At 36.0% G+C, this 24,561-nt stretch overlaps 4 annotated features.

Annotated features, from left to right (window-relative positions):
- Positions 9,057 to 9,201: an enhancer, noted in NCBI's record as "145 bp 9:12651340 sequence used in MPRA reporter constructs". NCBI's record gives its function as "activates a minimal TATA-containing promoter with rs1408794 allelic activity by MPRAs in C283T melanocytes {active_cell/tissue: C283T}" and the evidence as "EXISTENCE:reporter gene assay evidence [ECO:0000049][PMID:36423637]".
- Position 9,129: a transcriptional cis regulatory region, noted in NCBI's record as "rs1408794 or 9:12651340 MPRA-significant variant associated with a GWAS melanoma risk locus at 9p23". NCBI's record gives its function as "allelic transcriptional activity by MPRAs in C283T melanocytes {active_cell/tissue: C283T}" and the evidence as "EXISTENCE:reporter gene assay evidence [ECO:0000049][PMID:36423637]".
- Positions 24,133 to 24,277: an enhancer, noted in NCBI's record as "145 bp 9:12636264 sequence used in MPRA reporter constructs". NCBI's record gives its function as "activates a minimal TATA-containing promoter with rs12376903 allelic activity by MPRAs in C283T melanocytes {active_cell/tissue: C283T}" and the evidence as "EXISTENCE:reporter gene assay evidence [ECO:0000049][PMID:36423637]".
- Position 24,205: a transcriptional cis regulatory region, noted in NCBI's record as "rs12376903 or 9:12636264 MPRA-significant variant associated with a GWAS melanoma risk locus at 9p23". NCBI's record gives its function as "allelic transcriptional activity by MPRAs in C283T melanocytes {active_cell/tissue: C283T}" and the evidence as "EXISTENCE:reporter gene assay evidence [ECO:0000049][PMID:36423637]".

Genomic DNA, 24,561 nt, shown 5'->3' with positions numbered 1-24,561 from the left:
TATTTATGCTAAAGGCTATTTTTCCTTCTGTACATTAAATATGTCATACCACTCTTTTCTGGACTATGAGGTTTCCACTGAAAAGTCTGTTGCCAGACATATTGGAGTTCCTTTGTATGTTGTTTCTTTCCTCTTGCTGCTTTAGGATCCTCTCAACATTTTCAAGTTTGATCATTAAATGCCATGAGGTAGTCTTGTTAGGGTTAAATCTCTTTGGTATTCTATAACCTTTTTGTACTTGGATTTTGATGTAATCCTCTAGGTTTGGTAATTTATCTGTTACTATTCCCTTGAATAAATTTTCTTCCCCTGTCTTTTTCTCTACCTCCTCTCCAAGGCCAGTAGCTCTTAGATTTGTTCTTTTGAGGCAATTTTCTTGATTGTGTAGTCATGTTTCATTTTTTAAACTCTTTTTTTCTTTTGTCTGCTCTGACTTTGTATTTTCAAATAATCTGTCTTTAAGCTCATTAATTCTTTCTTCCACTTAATCGATTCTGCTATTGTAAGACTCTGATGCATTCTTCAATATGCCAATTGCATTTTTGGCTCCAGAATTTCTGATTGAATCCTTTAAATTATTCCAATCTCTGTTAAATTTATCTGATAGAATTATTAATTTCTTCTCTGTGTTAGCTCAAATTTCTTTGAGTTTTCTCAGAACAATTCTTTTGAAATCTCTGCCTGAAAGCTCACATATCTCTCTTTCTCCAGGATTGATCCTTGGCACCTTATTTAGTTCGTTTAATGATGTCATGTTTTCCTGGATGGCCTTGATGCCTGTAGATGTTATCAGTGTCTGGGCATTGAGTAGTTAGGTATTTCTTATAGTCTTCACAGTCGGGGCTTGTTTGGAAAGGATTTCAGGTATTTAAAAGAACTTGGGTGCTGCCACCTAAACTGTATCTACATTAGGCGGCACCCCAATGCCACTAATGCGGTGGTTCTCGCAGTCATAGAGGTAGTGTGTTGGTGTTCTTGGATAAAATCCAGAAGAATTCTCTGAATTGCCAGGTACGGACTTGTTCTCTTCCCTTACTTTCTTCCCAACAAATGGAGTCTGCCTCTCCTTGCTGAGTCACCTTGGGCTTGCAGTGGGGTGACACAAGCACTGCACCCCACTTGGGTAAGGCCCAGTGCTGCATTAGCATCAGGTCTGACCTAGTGCAATCCTAGTGTGGCCACCACCACTGGGACTTCACAGGTAGTACTGATGGCAGCAGTGGTCCATCTAGAGCAGAAGCTGCCATGACACCAGCTGCAGTGGGGAAGGCATGGCTGGGGTTGTGCATTCCATGGAGCCAGCGGGAGCCAGGGACAGGGGGAAGCCCTGCCCCCTTCAGAGCTGACAGGGAGGGAACTTCACACTCCCCCGGCACAGATGCAGCCACCCAGCTGGAGCTGCAGAGTCAGGTATCCCAGTACTCTTGGGGGCCCGGAGCAGTCAGGAGCCCCACCCTGCTGGGCACAACTGCAGCCACCCAGCTGTGGTTGTGGACCCAGGGACCTCTGCATGATCAGGGGCCCTGGAAGGCCCAGGCTGCCCCTACAGGCTTGGAAGTGCCTGCTCCCGCTGTTGGGCCTCTCCCAACTCCCAGCACCTGCTCTGATCTCAGAGCAAGATTGGGGCTGACCCCAGGCGCTGTTGCAGCCTGGACAGGCTGGTGTATGCTCAGGGCAGCACTGACACTCCAGCCCCTGCTGCCTCAGCCCCCTCCAGATTTGGGTGGCAACAAACACGAGAGGGAGGCCAAGGCGGGGGTGTTGAGGGCAGCTTGGCGCTGGCCTGACCCACCCTTTGGCATAAACGGCCTGGGTGTCATTAAGGGCATCAGGAAGCAGACAGGCTCCTTGGCAGAAGAGGGCGGGTGCCTGGTGGAGCCCCACCTTTAAGCTGGGGAGGGCCTGAAACCTGGAAGCTGGGTTGTTGGTCCCACAGACCAGAGTGGAAACTTGTGGTGTTTTCTCCAAGCCTGCTTATGCCTGCCCTGGACCTATCAGCGCACACCTCCTCCCCTCTGAGGCCCATATAAGCTCCAGATTCAGTCAGACTTGAGGAGATGACAGGATGACAGGCTGCAGAGAAGACCTACCCACCAAAGGCTCTCCTCTCTACTGAGAGCTGAGGAGATGACGGGACAGCAAGCTGCAGAAAGTAGCTACCCACCCCGGGGTCTCCCCTCTGCTGAGAGCTGAAGAGACAACAGGAGAGCAAGGACTCACAGGGAACTGGCACCTCTGTCTGTGCCTGGAGCTGCCTGTCCCATTGCAGCCATCATGCCTGGCTGTAAGCAGTGGCCAGAACTCATGTTTGCTTGCTCACACACCCCTCACCACTCTGCTTGCCCTTGGAAAGCATGGGATCCAGGCTGGGAGAGTGAGGCCAGTGCAGGCTGCCAAGCCGAGTAGGCAAAATGAGCCCAGAGGGCCTGAGCAAAACGGGGGCAAAGGTGCCACTGCCCACAGTGGTTTCTAGCTGGAAAAACAACACTCCAAGGATTCCGTAACATTTCACAGGGCTCGTCCAGGATCTGCAAAGAGTGAGTAAAAGTGGACTTGCTCTTTGTTCTTTTTTTTAGAGCCCCTAAACTCCACAGTAGTAAAAAATGAATAAATAAATAAATAAATGCCAGCCCTCTGTCAGTCATTTAAAAGTGACTAGCATGGCTGCCAGACTTAAGGCATGGGGTCACTAGGGAGGACACTGTGAATCCCCCATCAACCCTGGGTGTTGGGAATGTTGCCTTTGTTCCAATCCAGTTTCCCTTCATGGAGATCTAGCCATTGGGTGGGGTTGGAAGGAAGTTCTGGGGCAAGGGAGTGTATCTGGCTGAGGCTACAACTTGGTGTTATCCAAAGACCCCTGGAATAACTTTAGTTCTCGACCACCCATTAGGATGTCATCACTAGGACCTAGTTGTTCCTATCATCCTTTCTTTTGTGGCTGTAATGATTCCTATCTCTTTTTTATATACACTGTTAAGGGTATTGTTGCAAACCACAGAGATAATACTACTGGGTTGAATGAGAATTTGGCTTAGTCATCAAAAGTATAAAATGGAAGGTTAAGAGTGGCACAGACAAAAGGAAAGTGTGCCTTGGTATCTGTATATAAATATGTGTTGAAAATGCTCTTGTCGTTTCCTTGGTTGCCAACTTAGTGCCAAGAACCTTGAGGCACAGAAAAGAAGCATGGCTTCAGGAAGAAAGCATGAATTTCAATACCATTCTGCAGTATTGGACTTTTTCTGTAATGGGACGTTTTCTGTAAATGTGAGGGCAAATGGACCGAGGTCTCATATGTGCAGGCCTTCTTTGCCTTGCAGAGTAATCTGGACCTTTGCCGACATTTTAGAATTGATTCAACTCTCCTAGTGGCCATATTAGGAGAGGCTGCAAGGGGCAAGCCCAGGGAACTAGGGAAGCAAACCATAGAGGTACCCCCAACAAGAGAGTCAACTCCCTCCACTCCACCCTACTTCTATTGTGCAATAATATAGCTAATCACAGATTGCTATAAAAGTATGGAATAAACTTACTGAAGCCAATCTTGGAGGATAATAATGTTTAGAATGAAAACTAAGTTGAAGTAAAGGCAAAAAAGCAGAAGGAAAGGCTGGGGACTATGAGAAGTTTTATGTCACTGGGGCAAAAGGGAAAATCAGTTCTCCCAATGAGTGCATATACTGGAGGAATAGAAGCATAATCTTTTCTTAATTGGTTTTAGGGGTATCTAGGGAGCTATGTGCTGGCTGTCACAATTCAAATTCAGAGAGCATATTACACAACTTCCAAACACAATAGAGATGAAGGTCAGGGGCAGAGTTTATTTCTTTTCTTCTTGCTATACTTGGAGCAGTAAAAACCTTTCCCACAAAGAAACAGTTAAAATTATAACTTTGTGAGTATTACTCTAAAATTATCTAACTTTCCCCTAATATTACCAACTCTACTTTTTCATTTTATGGAATATATATATTTCTGTAGGCTTCAAAGAAAATCTCAGGACATGATACTTTATAAGGCATTCCAAACATTTACCAAAATTAAATGTATTACTTATTTGCAAATCATATTGGTATTTTAATAATAAATCTAACACCACTCCTACCAATGAGTGAAAATGAGTTATTTAGTTACTACGTACTTACTGAGTACTCTATTTAGAAAATGGTGCAAACCAACAGATTTGAAATTAACACTTGACTCTTTTCTTGCTCAATTTCAGATCCAGTGCTTCAAAATATCCTGTAATTCACCACCATCCCAGATATTCTCAAATTCAATTTCTTCTCGCAACCTCCTAGCCCACTAACCTAGTTCATGCCCATGCCATCGACTCTAGTCAATGTTACCATCACTTTTCTGCCAGATGACAGAAAGAGCCTGCTTATTAAAATGCTGCTTATCTACAATCTATTCTCCAAATAATGGCCTGAATTATGTATTAAAAACTTAACTGATTACATTGGCTCTCTAAAATTCTCCAATAGCTTCTAATTTCACCTAGAAGAAAATCCAAATTTGAATATTGGCCTAGCAAGGCCTACATTCTTTTCTTCAGTGACTCCAGATGGACCTTCTTGTTAAGCCCTTGGCATATCTGAAACGCCCTTTTCCTGGATATTCTCAGGTCTCTCACCTGTCATCCTTCAGAAAGAATGTGGCTACACACCTTTTCTAGATATTCACTCTTTTCCATTCCTATTGGGAATTATTTTTTCTCTGGAGGACTTACAATATTCTGTCATCATATCATATAACTGTTTTGTTTATTTATTTATTCATATCTCTCAGTATGTAAACAATTGCCTAGAAATTAACGAAACCCACTGAGTAAAAGTTATATGCACAAGGATTTTTTTTACCTCTTTACCAGAATATTTTCCTGCCTATAACATTATGTGGAACAGTATCTGGTATACAATGTAAAATCAATAAATATTTATTGGATTAATACTTAGAAGAGTAAAAAAGTAAAATGAAAAATAAACAGAAAAAGAAAGGAAAGAAGGAAAGAAGAAAGACAAGAAAATAAAGAAGCATAAAATTGATAAATTAAGGCATAAAAATAAATGATTTCTTGGTCTCAGTTTTTAATAAATGGCATGGGAACTGTTGATATCTTATGCTCATTTCCATTCCATGTCTGCCTTTTCCACTAAATTATTTTTGATATGCATATTCATGTCCTTTCATCTCCTAAGTCACTTTAAGTGACTTTAAATAATACGAGACATGGAAGGAAAGGGAAAAGAGAACAGAATAAGCAACAAATGATGCAAGAAAAATTTAAGTTTGTGAAGAGAATAGTCACTTTCAGTTTGAGTGAAGTATAAATTTCGTAAAAGGAAGTCGTAAACCCTAAGTTGATTGTTAAATGGCAGACAATTGTTGAATACCAGGAAATGTATTTAGAATTTTATTTTCTAGGCCACGAAGGGGGAAACATTTTCTTGAGGGAGAAAAAATTATTAGAGAATATTTCCACACAATAATTTCAGAGGAATTTTAGAATTAGGAAAATAACAATATTGTATTATAAAATGCCCTTTAATTTTCCATAGCAACTATTTTTATAGGTATTATAGAAACAATCTGGATTCTGCTCATAGTAATCAATACTTTATTTTCAGTTCTAACACAATCTCCCTGATCCCCATCCTTCTGTGCAGCATATTTCCTTTATAGTAATTTGTCTTCATAACTATTTCGTCTGTTTGCATCTGCATATTCTATTATAAACTACTCAAAGGCAAGTGGTGTGTATTATTTATATGTTTAAATCCAACACCTAGAAAATATTAAGCTTAGTGAGTGATTTTTGAATAAACTTAAAATTGAATACATTTGAAATGGATTGTTATGCTATGAAGTCAGGCCTAAGTATATACGTAATCAGTAGAATAGATTGATTTTTTAAATAAAGGAAAGTTTTAATTCTATTGCTACTACTATCACGACTATTACCACCAAGAATTTTGAGTATACAGCTTCTCTTTTTTTTCTGACTAATCAGTTATTAAATTCTTTCCGCATCAGATATTGTGTTAAAGTCTCTGTGTCATTTACTCTTCACAACATCTCTAAAAGTGGGAATTATTTTCATGCCTATTTCACAAATGAGTACAGTGAAGCTCAGAGAACTAAGAGACTATCAAGGCACATGGTTCTGAAGTAGGAGAAAAGGGAAACAAAGGAAATGGATACCTGGGATAAGAAATGTGTGAGCTTTATGCAAATAAATTTATAAAATAGAGAAAAATATGTAAAATGGGGATGCCAAGAATTAACACATGGGAATGGGTTGGAATAGGAGGAAGTAGAATGGACTGTTGATTTCTAAAATATTCACGTATACATGTATGTTCAGTTATATGTGTATATATTTGTGTGTGTTTATGCATTTATGTGTGTTGACATACGCATGGCTGTATAAACAGGCCATGTTTCCTAACTGTCCACTGAAAAGGCTTACAAACAAGGCACCCAGGTATTGATAAACACATGTAGGACCCAGATCTTGGTTTCTACTACCTCATTCCAATAAAAGAAATCAGGGCTCCTTGAAATATTACTGAGTACAGGGTTGGGGCAGGGACGATGAGCCTAGAATATTGCGTTACGCCAGAAAGCAAGAAAGTGCTAAAAATGAAAGTGCTAAACACAATGATGGGTTCTGTCACACAGACGTTGGAGTCACCTTAAAGGGGCTTCTACTTTCCAAATCAAGGACAATTTGAGTGCCAAAATAAGGAGAGTAATGGATGACAAAGGATTGGAAAAAATAGGGATCTATGACTCCATATCAATAATAAATAGATTAAAAAGAAATTGAAAGAAGGAAGAATTGAATATCTTGTTTATAGTAACATGCCAAGTATTGACTGTTAAATATGGCAGAAGTGGTGGAATATCCCCTTTTTGTAATCATTACAGTAAAGATTGTATCAGGTAAGAATCAATAATAAATGTTGAATCTGAGATAGAAATTTTGATGAAGAATTGAATATTTCTTTGGTCTTAAAGTATTTCCCCACTGATTCCTTATTAGTAGCAATAAAAAAATACTATACAGTGGAAGAATAAGGGAGCACTTGGTGCAGGTAATCAAAACTAATTCCACAAATAGGGGCAGATGAACTTAATGCACCTTTACATATAATACCATGAGAAGGATGCAGCATCATTTATGTTGTATTCCAGATGGGAAAGCATAACTTGAATCTAATTATAAGAAAACATCAGACAGACAAAAAGAGGAACATTCTATTTAGAAAGGAGGTATGGTAAAGATTAGTCAGCAAAAAAATTCAATGTCATGTAAGACATAGAAAGGCTAAGAAACTATTCTGATTAAAGGAAGCTATAAAGATATGATAACTGATCCAAGGCCTGATTCTATACACGAGAAAAACTTGTATAAAGGAGATTACTGAGTGAAGTAAGAAGCAGAAAAAGGAACAGTTCCTAGAGTGATATTGGAGCGAAGCATCTGACCTGTCACAAAACCAGAGGATGCATTGACTTATATCATTTATGATAAAGTTGATAGAAAACAATACTTTTGCAAATGTTCAGATGCTTGTTGCTTATTTGACTTATCATCTCCTTTATATAACAGAAAGAGATCAAATTATAAAGCAAATAGGGCAAAATGCTAACATTGGGTGAATTGAGGTAAAGGATTATGGATGGTCTTTGTACTATTTTTGGAAATTCTTTGTAAGTTTGAAATTATTTCTAAATACAAAGCTTTATTATTTATTTATTTATAATAAAACACACACAATTTAAAGTTCTAAGAATAGATCTCCTATAGAAAATTCTAGAGAGGGTTGCACACTTCACAAACATAAAAGGTCTCTTTAGCAGCTAGTGGTAAAATAGATGATTAAAAATATACATATCATCTTTTAAAACCAGCATTATAAGTGATTAAAGAAAACTTCCTCTGACTATAAATTTAAGATGTCATATCATTTTTGATGGGTAGGCAGTAACTTACTTTAGGCTTTGTCTCTAGCAGTAATTCATATTCACTACTCTTTTCCAGGCTATAAAATTTCAAACTCAATGGGAGTGGCAAAGAAACATCCAGTGATCCGGAATAATGGCTTAGCATTTCCTTCACAATTTTTTAATGATTCTTTCTTATTACCCTCTAAAGCCCATTATTCTGACTAATAATGCTGATTTTAAAATCCAGATCAATGTTAAAATTAAATTAAACATAAAATGTATGGCTTGTAAAATGTGAAACACTTGGCTATCTCTAAAACATTGCTAGGGATAATGATTAAATCCAAAGCCAAGTGTTCTAATTCTTTTCAGCAAAATAGGAAGTTTTTTTTTAAATTGAAGGTAAGAAATATTGACTAACAAAAATAGAAACTAGATGTATGCCATCATGATATTGCCTTAGTCCATTTGGGCTGTTATAACAGAATACCTGAGACTGGACAATTTATAAGAAACAGAAATTTGGTCTCTCACAGTTATGAAGACTGAGAAGTCCAAGATGAAGGTGCCGGCACCCTGTGTGGGTCTTGTTATTGCATCCTCATGGAGTGGAAGGCAGAGGGCAAGAGAAGATGCATGTGTGTCCTCACATGGGAGAAGAGTGAAGGAGAGCAAATTCACTCCTGCAAGCCCTCTTATAGCAGCATTAATCTATTCATGAGGGTAGAGGAGATTAGGCCCCACCTCCCAACACTGGTGCATTGGGGGTTAAGTTTCCAACACATGAATTTTCAGGGACACATTCAAGCAATAGCAATAGTTGAAATGAAATTTTATGTTCTAAATTATTCACATGGTTGTTCATGATTGCCACTTTTTGTAATGTTGACATGAGTAGGGCATATGTAAATTTATGTTTATGTATCATTGATATGTATTGTTTTGGTTCTGTGAAAAAAAAGTCTGTATTTTATCCAGAAGACATCATTTTTATATCAATAATAAGTTTCTGTGTATGTCCTCTAAAAGTTGAGCTAAATAAACTGGAAAATTTGGGATTTTCAAAAATTTATAGATACCAGAAAGGAGGCAGAAACCCTAGAGTAGTATTAGAGCAGAGCCTCTAGTACAGCTTATAGCTAGAAGGGGCATTTAACCATAATTTATGATAAAAATCAACACAATACAGTACTCTTAGAATGTGCACATGCTCATCTGACTCAGCAGCTCTCCAGTGTGGGCTTCTCACTTGCTTAGGCCCATATTACTGGTAATTTGAAGGGAAAAAATGAACTTGATGTTTTCTGATGGCTACTGTGTGTCTATTATTGAGCTAGAGAGATGATACTTCATTAATTTTTTCAGATCAAAATTTATAAGGTGAAATTTGCAAGTGTTAAATACATTTGTTGAGTATCACCCATGTAGTAAACACCCTTCATTCATTTCTATGTAACTCAAATTTTCCAAGTATTATTGATCTAAATTGACTCCCATTACATAGTAATATCAGGCTAGTTGACAAAGCAGTAACTGCAGTGCAGTTAAGCCTAGAGATCAATGAACCCTAAGAGGGTAAGTTGGGCTACTATAAGCTGGCTATGATCCAGATGCAGAATGAGGTACATTTTTCTTCTAAGTTATTTATTTATCCTTGTTGTTAGTATATCTTTTGGGATTAATTCCTTTATTTTGCCGAAATATTTTAAGGTTGTTTTCATACATGTTCTTTTGGTGAAAACATTCTGAAGCCTTTTATAACTGAGAATGTCTATTTTATTCTGGCATTTAAATGCTACATTAATTAGACAAAAAATCCTGACTCTGTTGTTATTTTCCTTTAGTACCTTGCAGATTTTACACCATTTTCTTCTTGCAATCCATATTGCTGTTGGAAATGTATTGAAAATTTGTTTATTTTTCCTTACCTTTCTTTCTGAAAGTGTTTAGACGTTTCTCTATTTTGAAATTCTTAAAATTTTACTATTTTTGTTCAGGTTTTATTCTTTGTAAATATTCTATTTGGCAACTTACAAGTATTTAGGATTTCTCCCTCCTCCCTGGCATTTTACTTTTTTATTTTTCTTAATTCTGGAAATTTCTGAGTTAATACTTTTTCAGATATTTCTTCTTTATACTTTATTTTTATTTTGGTGACTGCCTCTATACAGATTTTGACACTTCTATTTTACCTGTCTAAATGGCTATGTCCTAAGTTGACGTTATATTCTCTTTATGCCTTCCTAATACTTCCTGGAAAATTTCACTATTTGATCTTCCAGCTCATTGATACATTCTTCCATTGTGCTCAGTTTGTTATTCAACACTTCTTTTCGATGCTTTATGCACATTAACATGTTTTTATACCATATATTTCCAATTGTCTTCTTATAAACATTTATTCATAAGTCATGTTACCATTCTCTGTTACTCTTTGAAAATATTCAGTATCTTTAATTTCTTGTTTTATTTGGAACTCAAATTTGGCTTTATCCCTTGTATGATTTTTGGTATGATTATTTTCTTTTGTAATATTTGTGCTCTGCTGATGTAAGAAATCTTATAGCTTTTCCCTGAGAGCTTACATTTCCCTGTAAATAGTCGTTACTTAATATTGCCTTCCCAAAAGGCTGAAACCTAGGTTCTAGCTTTGCCTGCCCCTGCAGAGTTAAGAGTAGGAAAGAATTGAGCTTCAGAGTGGCGAATATCTGGAAGTATAATCTGAGATTGGTCTTGATTTGCTTTCTCTTTAGAGACCTTGCCTCTTAGATGAATGTCCATTTTTTAACCGTTTACTGAGACCTGCATTTGTGTGCTGGAGTAGAGGTGGTGGAAGGAGCCACTGAGGGCCATCAGAAATACCTGCACCCCTTATTCACTTGCCACCCCAGCAGGAATTAGTATAACCTGAGGTTTCTCTCTCATTCCCACACCAGTGCAGATACAGCAAGATTTTTTCAGCCTGTTCTATAGCAAAGGGGCAGATGATGATCCTCTAGGGGAAATGCAGGTAAAAGAAAAAAAAATGGAACTGAAAATATTTTCCCCTGGAGAAGCTTCCCAGTATTACTCACCCCTCTTCCACTGTGGGTATTACTGTCTTACAATGAGACTCAAATATAAATACATTTGTTTCCCTAGGAAGTTATTACAGGTTTTCACTAGTTCTAATTTGTAAACTCTCCTCCATTTTGAAAACATCACTGGAATGAGTTAAGGGTGAGGTAGTTGGGAGGAAGACAGCAGCTTCTTTTAGTCTGATATTTTATCCTCAGCAGCATTTCCATGTTTATACTTTTCATTCTTGCTCTAGTGAACAAGATGCTGATCAAACAGAGAGAAACCATAAAACATGTAATTTTTTCAGCAAATGTAGTCCCTGAGGGACTAGCAGCAGCATTCAGCGAGATAAAAACTGTTATCAGCAAGGAGCTACAGAAATAGGGTAGGGAATGTTTATTGCAATCTTACAGATTCACAGAGAGTGAATGGTATTTATTACTTCTCTTATACAGAGCTATCTTTTGGAATCACTGTGCATTCATTTTTCATCTAATTCTCCCTATAATTCCATGAGAAATTTTACATTATTGCCCCTATTTTACATGCAAATAGATTTTCACTTAGAGTTTTGATTTTTGTTAATAGCATCTAAGTGGAAGAACTCAGGGCTCTTCATTCCTGTATTATTGGTATAGTATTATTAATTGCAGACATGGCTGTTTTAATTATCTAGAAATCATAGGATTTCAGAGCTGGATAAATCTGAGTGGTCATCTAATTTGACTACTTCAAATTCTGAAGGAAGAAATGGAGGTGTGGGGAAGTTGGGTGAATTGAATATGTTAACAATCTAGTTTATCCTCAGTAGAAATAAAATTATTTCCCATTAAGTGCTTCTATGCACATTCTGTATGTCAATTTTGTTATTCCTCCTGGAAGATAACTATAGGATGCTTCATGAAGAATGATTCTCCTCTTTCCATTTTCTTAGAGTATATTGTATTGGGCTACGTATTTTTTTTTTTTTTGAAAATAAAATGTGCAATTAGAACTTTGGCTAAATTTATCAAAGATGAATATGAGAAATTAAATACATAATTTACTGAAAGTACAAAAGATACTTCAGTATTTTAAGGAAACAAAAAATAATAAAACTTTTTTTCTTCTTTAAGGCACTTTACACTGGTAAGTTGGTTTACCAGTGAAGTAAATGAATGTGAAATTGCATGAATCCTAATTATTTTAGATATTTTATTGTGAAGTTCAAGGTATTTTAATAATTATTTGCATTTTAAATGAATTTTCATTTATTCTTTTCTATTATTTCATACAGCACTAATACCACTGCATTCTTTGTGGGAACATAGAGGTAAATTCTACTGCCCAAATTCTATGCCACAGTTCTTAATTATCCAGACAATTCTAGATTTTAAAAGTCTGTTCTTTTAATAAATAATTAATTTTAACATACTGCCAATATATTTTACTTATATAGAAATGGAAAAAGAATACTGGCCTATAAAAGTAACTATTGTGCTTGATTATATATATATATAATATATAAATAAAATACATATAATAATATATAATTTGTTTATTTTTTTTACACTATGTCTAATGATTTGGGATTTGGGAGACAGAAGATCATGCTTAAATTTGAGCTTTGCTGTTGATTTCCTGCTTGTCCTCTTTGCCCCTTTAGATCCTCTCCCCACCTTTCTCCACCATGATTTGTATCCTCAGACTGCATCAAAAGGCTCTCTTATCCTCTGGTGATACGGTTTGGCTGTGTGTCCTCACCCAAATCTCATCTCCAATTGTAATCCCCATAATTCCCATATGTCCAGGGCAGGACCTGGTGGAAGGTGATTGGATTATGGGGGCAATTTCCCCCATGCTGTTCTCATGATACTAAGTAAGTTCTCACGAGACCTGATGGTTTTATAAATGTTTGACATTTCCTCCCACACACAATACCTCTCTTACCTGCCACCATGTAATAGGTGCCTGCTTCTCCTTTCCCCGTAATTGTAAGTTTCCTGAAGCCTCCACAGCCTTGTGGAACTGTGAGTCAATTACATCTTTTTCCTTTATAAATGACCCACTTTCAGGTAGTATCTTTATAGTAGTAGGAAAACGGACTAATACATCTAGTTTCTTGTTAGATTCAACCAATGCAACGTGGGATCAAGGATTTTATTGCCCCTGCTCCCTTCCTGTTGGGCACAGTGGATAAGAGGCTTCCCTTTACTGAATGTCACATGGCCTTCTCTACACATCTTTTTCTTACTGCATTTTGATAATTATTCTCTCCCCTTGGCCCTTTAAGCCTAGCAATAATAAGGACTTCCTACTTGGTTTGACTCCTTGTTGATGTCCCTACACCCTGAACAATAGTCCCTTCCTCAATAGTCCCTTTATTCAACTCTCCTCAGTTACCCTTCAAGTGTGCTATCTGTTTCTTGTCAGAACCCAAACTTATACATCATTAAATTACCTTCAAAAATCACATATGATCTTTTATGATCTTTGAATCTCAAATTTGTTATTTTTTTCTTTCTTTCTTTTTTTTTTTTTTTGAGACGGAGTTTCACTCTTGTCGCCCAGGCTGGAGTGCAATGGTGCAATCTCGGCTCACTGCAACCTCCACCTCCCAGGTTCAAGCGACTCTCCTGCCTCGGCCTCCAGAGTAACTGGGATTACAAGCACGCACCACCACACCCGGCTAATTTTTATATTTTTAGTAGAGACAGGGTTTCACCATGTTGGTCAGGCTGGTCTTGAACTCCTGACCCCAGGTGATCTGCCTGCCTCAGCCTCCCTCAAATTCCTTTTTCTATAATGAACATAATAATATCCATCACTGAGAGTTGTTGTGGCTTATCTTTGCTCTCAGGATAAAGTGCAAACTTGACAACATCAATTCAGGGCCTGTGCTTACTTACCTCTTCAGTTTTATTTTTTTGCCTCTCAATATCTATCCTCCAGCCAAATTGAAATACTCTGGCATCCCCATTCCTTCAATGCACTATGTTCGATGCATTAGCAACAATGTGTATCATTTGGGACACTTTCTTTCTCTCATCTGCTCCATTCCCTTCAGCAAAGTCTTCTGAGACTCACTTACACTAGAAAGTCTATTCTTACTAGCCTCATTCCCAACCTAAACTGATTGAAAAAAATTTTTAAATTTCCCAGTTGTCTTTTATTATACACTTTATAATGTTTATGAATTCCCTGCTTACTTGTCAGTTTCTCATTCTAGAATAAAAACTCTCTGGGTTAGGGACTATGTGTTGCTCATTAGGTCTTTCAGTGTCTAGCACCATCTTAGTCTCTCAATGGGTAGCAAATACAAGTTTATCATATGGCTGAATACACATGAAAATATAGGTTTTTTTGAGTTTTTTTGTATTTTCAGAAAATTAATTTACTATAAGTTGAACAAGTATATAATCAAAACAAAAACAAGTAAACAAATGTACCTTGCCAATCTACTCTTTGTTATTTTAATTACCTTGAACTTTATATATCTTTCCAAAATATGTTATCGAGGAGATGAGGGAGTATGCCCAGGCCTAATGTTCTTGAAAGTTGAGTGAATGTGGCCTTGGCAAACCACCGGAGGCTGCTGAAGATAATACCTGACCCCAGCTTGGCAATCACTCAACAAGAGGGGTATTATGGGATCATGAAATAAAACTTGGCTATATCATGTCCCCTAAGATGTTTCTTGGTTCTGAAAACCAAGGCTTTTATTAACTCTTTAATTTTAACAAGATTTGAAATGAAATTAACAGGGCAAAGATCTCATTCCTACCATTCCTTTTCCTATGGGATGTGATATGTTTAATGTCCTTTGTGAAATAATTTTCAAGAAGCCTGAAAATACAGTCTGGCCATAATTCCTTAGCTGTTTGTTGCTTTCTTGTTTATGCTTGCCTGAAACAGATTGAATAAGCAGGGACTTATTACATCTTGCTTCACATTCTGAGTGATGGGGAACGAGTCCATTGTGCATGTGGAATGCATTCAGTGAAGATCCTAATTTTTTCTCTTTAAATACAAAAAATTTCTAGGACAGTCTGTTTTCTTTTTGTTTGAAATATGTAATCATTTTATATAATTGATATGTGTCTATCTTATAGATTGTACTTAAACCTTTCTTGTCTTCTTAGTAGTGTTATTGGGCAATAAAAACAGTTTTTAAAGCTTGGCCATTTTATTTTATATACCTTTCTCATAATTTCACTTCTTGATTTGAATTCTTTCCATTTTTTTCCAAGAGGCAGCAGAAAATCACATTAAATGTACAATAATGCTTGTGTTGTGATGATAGAAGTCATTGAAGAATCTTTTAGTAGGGACTTCCAAATATAAATAAGGTTTCTGGGAGTTGGCAAGCATCAAATAACCAAACTTGGCTGCCAGCTGAATTATACATCTTTATCTTCATGTTACTATAGTGTTAAATCTGATATTCACTCTGATGGATTTTTTTTAATCACATATGACCTTTTCACCATTCATGCTGGGAAAATGCATATAGCAAAATTACTGAACAAGGCTGAGATTTTAGAACCACTCATTGACATTTTAATTTTTATTATATTCTTTTAAAAGAGCTTTCTTGTAACCTAGCTAATGAGAATGAAGGACTATTTTAACTAATCTTTACTCACAATTAGATATATTATTTTTAAAGGTTTCTTTATTTAAACCAGTTTCTAGAAAAGTGAATCCCAAAGTAAGGGAGGAAACTCCCAACGCACCCGCAACCATAGTGTTGTCATGGGGGAAAAAATACCACAGGCCCATCATTTAAATGCAAGACTTACCTGTTTATAAGAACTGTGCTCAGGATGGCAGGAGAGTGCTCACCAGCCAGAGGTGAAACTGCCACACCTAGTTTTTATTTTATTTTATTTTATTTTATTTTATTTTATTTATTTTTTATTTTTTAACAGATCACACTTACAGACTGTTCTTCCACCTACACTTAAGAACTTAAGACATCCTCCAAGATGTGCCTTGTGGTTAGCAGGCCACAGTGAATGACAGTGGAGTTTGAGATTATGGCACTTAGTAAAGAAAAAAACAAAACCAAACCATGCACTCGAGACTCTGAGATTAGCAAAATCTAAAAGGGCTATTTGAAAGGGAACTAACAGCATGCATTTAAAAGAGGTCACAGTGTTTGTCATAAAAGATTCAGGATCTATAAAGGGGATACAGCGTTTGTCTTAGAAAGTAAATCATTGAAGATCTCTAAAGACATAGGACTTGTACCAAAAAAAAAAAAAAAAAACACATTAATGATGTCCTTGTTAGTTGTATTTTCAAAATTTAGAGTGCAAGACAGAATATTTATTGATTATGAGGATCTGATTTCCTCCTCAGTGGGCAAAATGTTCTACTGGGATTTTTAAGGAAATATTAGACTTTAGATTTACATGAAATAAATGTAATTAGATGTTTAGGTGAAATAAACATAATTCAACATTACTAATATTTACTGTTTGAGTTGCCTTGGCTTCTTCCCATTGGCCAGTGTGTCATATGGTCACATAACATAGTTGAGTACATCCAGAATCCTGGAGGAAGAGTGGGCAAGAAGAACTGACTCTCATGCTTTCCTTTCCTTGCATCATACTGCAATATGTTGCAGTTGAAGTGTTTTCTAGTAAGTGCACTATACTTTGCTAAATAGTAGACTTTTGAAACACTTTGTAATACAAAAAAGGCTTTCATAAAAATCTTTTGTACCATACACAGCTTAGAAAAATAAGTGATACAACTTCTGATTTTGTCTTTGATGACAATTGGTAAAATGGTATCTTAGCAGAAATTAAAAACAGACTTACATGTAAAATGTTAACAATGAATGAAAAGATAATGATTTCCTGGGAAAGACTTATGCCACAGAAAGAAAGTTTTGAGGAGAGATACTTGGAAATGTTTGGATCTTAGGTGATTTTAAGTTCAATGTCGTGAAGTTATAACTAATCTTTCATATGTGCACAATTAAAACACTTAAACATAGAATTTATTATCTGTTTAAACAAATGAAAAGTTTTTCTTGACTTTGCAAATATTTGTATAAAATATAAAATAAAAACTATTATAAGTAATTTTTCAGAACAACTGATTGATATCAAGAAAGATGTCCATTTACTAGCCATATTACAGCAAATTTTTAAATAGGTTATTTCTAAAAATAATAAATGACTATCTTAATTAAGTAAGAACAGCCAATGATGGCTTTTTGTCTGTTCATGTCTGTATAACTTTTTCTAATTATGACAGTTGTCAAACTATGTACCAGAATAAATTCTTAAACTCAGACATTTGAATTATTCTATTACAAAAACTTAAAAAACTGAAATGAAAAAAACTTTACTCAATCAGTATTTTTGAAATAGTCACTTAACAATTAAAATAACTAAAATATTATATAATATTTTCTCAACTATTATACATTTCTCATTTCTGTGTATAATTTTTGAATATATATTTACAGAATGCTAAGTATACATCATGTATGAGCAACTACATTTACATGCACTAGAAGTGCTTGCTCAGAAACTTTTCTTGTTTTTCTAATGAAGTACTTGGTCAATAAATGTTTGCAAATTTCTAAAACTCAAAGGGATTCCTTATCTTAGATACATCTTCCAGATAACCAAATTAGATGAAAATGTGTTTAAAATGTTTCTACTCATTTAAACATAAAATATAGTCTGCTCCTAAATGGGCAAACTGAAGTAGCATGTTTAACACATGAACTGAGAAAATGTATAGCATACTAAATGGTATTCTAGAGAATAAAAGCAAGAATGTAAGAAATTAAATGACCTTTACTAACCTATCTTATGTAAATTTATCATGTGATTATTTACATATATATTTTTAGTTTCTGAACTAATTACCATACACACACACACACACACACACACAAACACACACACAGACACACACAAAGATAGAGAGAGAATTTTGTCATCTCTCCTAATGGAAAAAAAAAATCTCTAAAAAGGTGGATTGAGAATACCACATAGAATGAAGTCTCAACATTCCGTAACACGAGTAATTCAAGAGGCTTTTTATTTGGAGGACATTTATTTTCAAGTGCTTAGCTTCTTATGTTTGATAAAGAAATTATTTATAGTTCAAAAGCAATATTCTTGCCCCTATATGTCCATAGAATGATCACGTTTAAAATGAGCATGCTGTATATCATTAAGTGTATACTGTACATAATACATAATAAATCAACAGACTATATGTGACTGCTAACAGTTTCATGAAACATACAATCTTATTGGCTGGGTAAATCTGTACTTGATTTCAGAGAGAAAGAGAGGAGGGGAGACACACACACACACACACACACACAGAGATAATGTAGTTAAGGAATTTTCAAATGTCTATACACAATGGCGAGGGGTAGGGGTGTGAAGTCCTCTCCGAAGGCACCCTTAACACACACTAAAATTAGATGAAATAACATGAGAAAACAATTACTCTTCATGAGTTTGTACTATGTGGTCCATAGGTTGGTATCTGCCATTAATCAGAATTTATGGTATTTTCAATATGAGTATTAACCACGTTAGGAAAGCACTAAAAGCCTGTATAACTTTACATTTGTGTGGTTGAGTTTAGTAAATATTTATGGGAAAGAGACAGATAATTCCAAAACCCTAGACTAAGTTTGAACATACAAAAATCCTAATTTAAATGTATATATATATAAAGGGACTAAAACATTTCAGAGGTCCCTGTAAGAGGCCCCCACTTCCGATGACAAAAAAAGATACATTAAATAAATGAAGCCCCTGTGACGATACAGATGGAGTTATTTTGTGCCCCCTTAATCTAAAAATAAGACTAAACCAATTTTTCTGTGTCTTCTTGGAATAACTATTTGGCATTATCAGCAACCATGAATTTAGAACTCATTTGAGAGAAACTTTTTTTTTTAAATGACAGTCTTTGTTTTCTTCACCAAAGATATTGTAAACCTTCAAAACTCCCTGACCACCAGAAGCAGTGTACCTCTCTTTGGTCCTAGTGGTGGGAGAAGAGAATGAAGACATAACCTGTTTTCTATTTTGACTGTTACACCCTAGTGAATGGGGCTCTGTATAAGATTCTGTTCATTGACCACCCAGATTAAGATGGAAGCTAGGAAAAGAACTCAGAATACCCACACCTACTCATGGAAAATCTGCTGTCTAGGGCGGAAAGCAAAGTCTGCTACCACGGATGGGAACAAAAAAGGTAATTTAGGATACTTTTAAAAGCTAAATACTTTGTCATAGATTTTACCAAACTATTTCTGAATCAAAGCAAGAGCAAATACAATTTTGCTTGCCTTGAAAATGGGCAGCTGTTCAACGTGAACAAAGCTGAGGTGAGACACCTTGCACGTTGCTTGGAGACCATGGGACTCTACATTTTCAAGCCTCATTAATCTTTGCTTATGTTCTACAATTCCAGCAGGCTCTGTAGGTCTGTTTAATTACTCAGCATCACAGAAGTTGCCAGTTTCTTTTCTTGGAGCTAGTTTATTCATTCTAAATATTTAACCCTACTGCCCTTCACTTAGAGAAAAGCATTATATGAAAGATAGGAAATTGGAAAAACAATAAAGCTCTTAATCTGTTATTTTCACTATTAGAAGAAGAAAATGGCCTTGTCAGAAAAACAAGAAAGTGGTCATTCATGGAACTGGGTAGATTTTCACAGTTGACCCATTTACTCAGGCTCTGGGCTTTGTTCCTTAATTATCCTAAGAGATTATTCCAAAATGAAAAGCTATCATCTGTCCTGCATTATCAATAGGATTAAAAAGACTTCATTTTACCTTTGATAATCAGAAACATTGATAAATGCATTTAAAATATTTTAATAATATGAATTTATACTTTCAAATATTTGGTAAACAAAGATAACTGAATATTTTGATTTAGATTTATAAGTATTTTCGAAGTTTAAATTATGCTTCTTCAGTAAGGAATTAAGTTAACTAGGCTCAAAGAAGGCCATTGATGAAGTACCAAGTTGTGATTCTTGCTTGGTTCCTAGAGTTCTACTTCTGAAACCTGTTTCTATTAATAGTGCTTTAATATTTCACACAAATAAATGCAGAATGTTGGCAGTTTGCCTTTGTTGTGCTTACAGACTTCTTTCTGATATTCATGGAGGTACTGTGAGGGTTGTTGTAATAATGTCATAGCACTTCAGCAGCATACTGAATTTACTGAAATATCACCTTAGTGCCAGAAGGTGGCAGCTTTAGACCACTTTGAATTAACAAATAAGCTTGGCTTTGCAAAGAGGCTCTTATTACGTGTTCTTCTTAAGACATTCATGCAAGGAACCATCCAAAGGATGGCTTTAAATGATTTATTTTCTAATACAATCTTGATGAAAAATGACCTTTCAGAGTAGAAGTAATAAGTTTGGTCCCATTTGGTTTAAATCGAAATACAAGGGCCACTATTGAAAAATCTGCAGCTTTTTTGAAACTACCAGATTTATGATATCCGACTTTTACAAACAGTAAAAAAATACATCTAAAAGTAAAAAATTCATAGCCTTGCCCTTGGAATCTATAAAAATACTAAAGCTTCTAGTTTAGAGCTTTGAACTTAGATCTGAACTTCGATCTGAGCCCAGAAAGTATAAATTTAGGGCATATTTGGTCATGTCAGGCATATCAGGTATCTAAAGTTATTTAATAATTGTTTCTATTCCCTGAGAATTTTAACTAACTTCCAAGTACCATTAGCAATGAGAGAGATAGAAACAGAGAGAGAGAGAGAGAGAGAGAGAGAGAAAGGAAAACCAAGGTAAGAATGACAGCTTTAGGAATTATCTTTCAGAAAATAATAGTCTGGGAAATATCTTTCCAAAGTAGTAACTTAGGGGAAAGTGGATTTGATATGTTCAGGTTACAACCTTCTTATCCTCTTTAGGGTTTTCAAGAATTTTTTTTCAATAAGCTTCTTCTAATTATATCAGAAACCGGAAAATAAAAACAGGCAAACAACAACAAAACAGATATTTTATATTTATTTACATGATTTACAATAACATTATGTGACAACACTGACCAATGCTGACTTTCCACATCTTATTATTGTACCATTGTACCATTCAAAAGACTTCTTTTCTTCTTTTTAAATTAGGTTTGATATTTGTTTTTATATGCAAGTATGTCTGTGCACAAGAATATGAATTGATACATAAAAGATCTGAATATCTTTTCCTGGAACACTGCAGATAGCTAAAAAAATGAACCCTTGAATAGCTGAAGTAATTAACAAATTCCTTGTGCACTACAGTTTCATCAAATATTCCATATATGTGTTTCTTAAGATTTACGTATATTCTTTAGGAAGGCCTGTTGATAATCAAATAATAGATACTGAAGATATCAAATGTCTCCTACTATATTCTGGACTTATTTCTTGGAAATGTGTGCAAAATAACCCATTTTGGAAAGGTACATAAACAAATTATATTTTGAAAGCATTTGTCACCTTACTGTCAAGTGGACTACCGCTTGAAGTTACTAACCATGTGATTATGTGGTGAACTGGTAAGACTTTGGAAAAAAGGGTGGAGAGGAAAAGGAGATGTGCTAAAAAGAAATAAAACAGTGAAATCAATGAATTTCTAAACCACACATTTTGTGGTTTCCACAGGATTTCTGTTGCCATATGGTGTAGTTAATGCTTTATTTGGAAAGTGTTACCTGCATTGAAATAATGCATTATCAACCACTTAAATATTTTCAAGATTCCACCCAAATTCATGACATTTAAATAAGATTGAAAGCAAATTTTCAAGTTGAAATGTTAAAGATCAAATGATCTAGAGAAAATGTCTCAAATTCAAGACTTGCCTTCTACTCGCTGGTCTCATAGGAATTATCCTTTGGTGTTAGCATGAAGACATTGTTTTGTAGTCTTCGAGTGTGTGCCAATGTATTCAAAATGAAAAACACTCTGAAAATTTCTTGAATGACTAAAGCTGGATAGTGACTAAGAATTCTCAGAAGTCTGAGGCCAGAAATCAAAGATTTCTGATGGTGTTCACATAGGAAAGAAAATGTCATAATTGCAAATGGAGGGTGCTGGACCTGAAATCATTCACCTGTTCATTGTTACCATAAACACACAATAATTCCTGTTACCCTCGTTTGGATTGAAATGGTTTTGACCCTTAAAGGGTTTTTGAACATACATTCTAATGACATAACAGGCTGCCAAATGTTCGTGCTCCTCAAATTTTAATAACGAATACCTATATTGTTCAGGAGGCATGGGCAGACACAGGAATCTAGGATTCTAGGAAATTATGTTACTAGAAATTTCCATGAGAGTACAAGAATTAAATCCCCAAATTCTTCATACCCTAATGCAAAATTCAGATAGTTTACCAAGGAGTATATTGTTTTCAATGAATACCTAAAACAGCAATTCAAAATGATACTGCGTTGGAGGAACCGATGGTTCAGATTTTACTTCATTTCTTTGACAGTCACTTGACTCTGCTCTTTTTTAGGGATTAAGATAATCTCTTATCTCTACTCTTGAAAATCATGTGTAATCTCTTGACAGCTTTCCTAAAGGCTTAGCAACTGCTTTTCAATCACAAGGAAATTCACCTGTCTTTTTTTTTCTATTTAGTCGAGAGCGTTCTATAAACACACGCTTAAATTCAAACCAGTGTTGAATGTAAGTGTGTTGTAATAGCCCTAGACTAAAAGAATGTTTCTTTTTGGTGCCCAGTGGTATGAGAAGAGAAATGAATACAATGCTACTAATGCCTGTTATTTTCCTTGACTGGGAAAATACTTCACAGCATGCTAGAAATAAACTGCAGGCATCTTCCTCACCTCTGAGTGACCACCTTATGGATGATAAATCTAAACTAAGTTGATTGTGCCTTCTACAATTAAAATAGAAATGACAAATGGCTTGTTTTTCACACCTATATTTATTTCTTAATTAGTTTTTTCCTCTCTTTAGGCGGGCACTAGTTAAGGAGTTTCCAGTTGCATAAAATAAGAATACCTGTTATTATTATCATAGCTCCCATTTATTCAGTACTGAATTGGCCACAGGCATTATGATGAACCACTAGTTGATTCAACAATATTACTGAGCATTTATTATACAATAGATTTGGGCATCGACACCGGGCATACAATAATGAATAAGAAAGATGTGGTCTTCGAATCCAAAAACCACGTAACCTAGTGATGGATATAGAAAAGTAAACAAGTTCATTGTAAGTTCTCGAAAAAAGAAGATGCGCTGGGTGCAATGGACACATATCACAGAGAGCACCAAAGTGGGTGTCTGGAGAGGGTATGAGGGAACAACTCAGAGGATACTTATTCATTAAATAAACATTTATAAAACACCTACCATGTACAAAGCACTATGAGTAGCATTGGCGATAGATAGTAAACAAGAGACATAAATTCTACTATCATGGATTTTATTGTTCATTAGGGGAGACATATGATAAATAAATAAATACATTGTAATATTAGGGAGGAATAAGAAGAGTTAACAGTGTAACAGGATGTAGGGTTGAGGAAGGAGGACTACTCTGAGGACTGCCTTTGAGGGGGTAGTCTAGGAAGGACTCTCTGAGAAAGAGATTGTGAACCATGACCTGAGTGTTGCGCATGTGGAGATCTGAGGAGAGATCTGAGGAAACAGTGGTGGAAAGGCCCTGCAGTTAGGGTGTGCTTGGCATTGCTCAAGTTACACCAGGAAAGCCAGTGAGGATAGAGTGAGGATGTGATCCATGGGAAACTTTGAGAGTTTTACAGAGGGCAGGACATGCAAGATCTGGTAGGAATTTTTTTTTTTTTTCTGATTGGGATGAAAAATCTCTGGAGAATTTTGAGTAAGCAAGAGACATCATCTGATGTGTGTGTGTGTGTGTGTGTGTGTGTGTGTGTGTGTGTGTCTGTGGTTTGTTTTTTTGTTTTTTTTTTTTTTGAGACAGGGTCTCACTCTGTTGTCCATTCTGGAATACAGTGATGCAGTCACGGCTCACTGAAGCCTTGAACTTCTGGGCTCAAGTGGTCTTCCTGCCTCAGTCTCCTAAGTAGCTGGGACTACAGGTGTGCACCATCATATCCAGATAATTTTTCTATTTTTTGTAGAAAAAGCGTCTTGATATGTTGCCAGGCAAGGGTCTTGAACTCCTGTCCTCAAGCAATCCTTCTGCCTCTGCCTCCCAGAGTACTGGGATTACAGGTATGAGACACTGGTTTACACTTTAAAAGATGTAACTTTTAAAAGATGTACACTTTCTAACTGTCCTATGAAGAACAAAATGCAAGATGACCAGAGTGGAAGCAGAAAGATGAGATAGGAGGTTATTATAAAAGTCCAGGCGATGATGGGGATTTGAACTAACGTAGTAGTGGGGTAGGTTATGAGACGTGGTCAGATTCAGAATTTATTTCAGCGATATTGCTGGCAGGACTTCTTAGTGTATTGGATGTGGTATCTGAACAAAAGAGAAAAAGCAGCACCCATGTACAGCATTGTTGCCTGAGTA

This window comes from Homo sapiens, chromosome 9, assembly GCF_000001405.40.
Source record: "Homo sapiens chromosome 9, GRCh38.p14 Primary Assembly".
Classification (NCBI taxonomy): Eukaryota; Metazoa; Chordata; class Mammalia; order Primates; family Hominidae; genus Homo; species Homo sapiens.
Note: the sequence above shows the minus strand (reverse complement) of the source record. Positions and strands in the feature narration are given on the sequence as shown.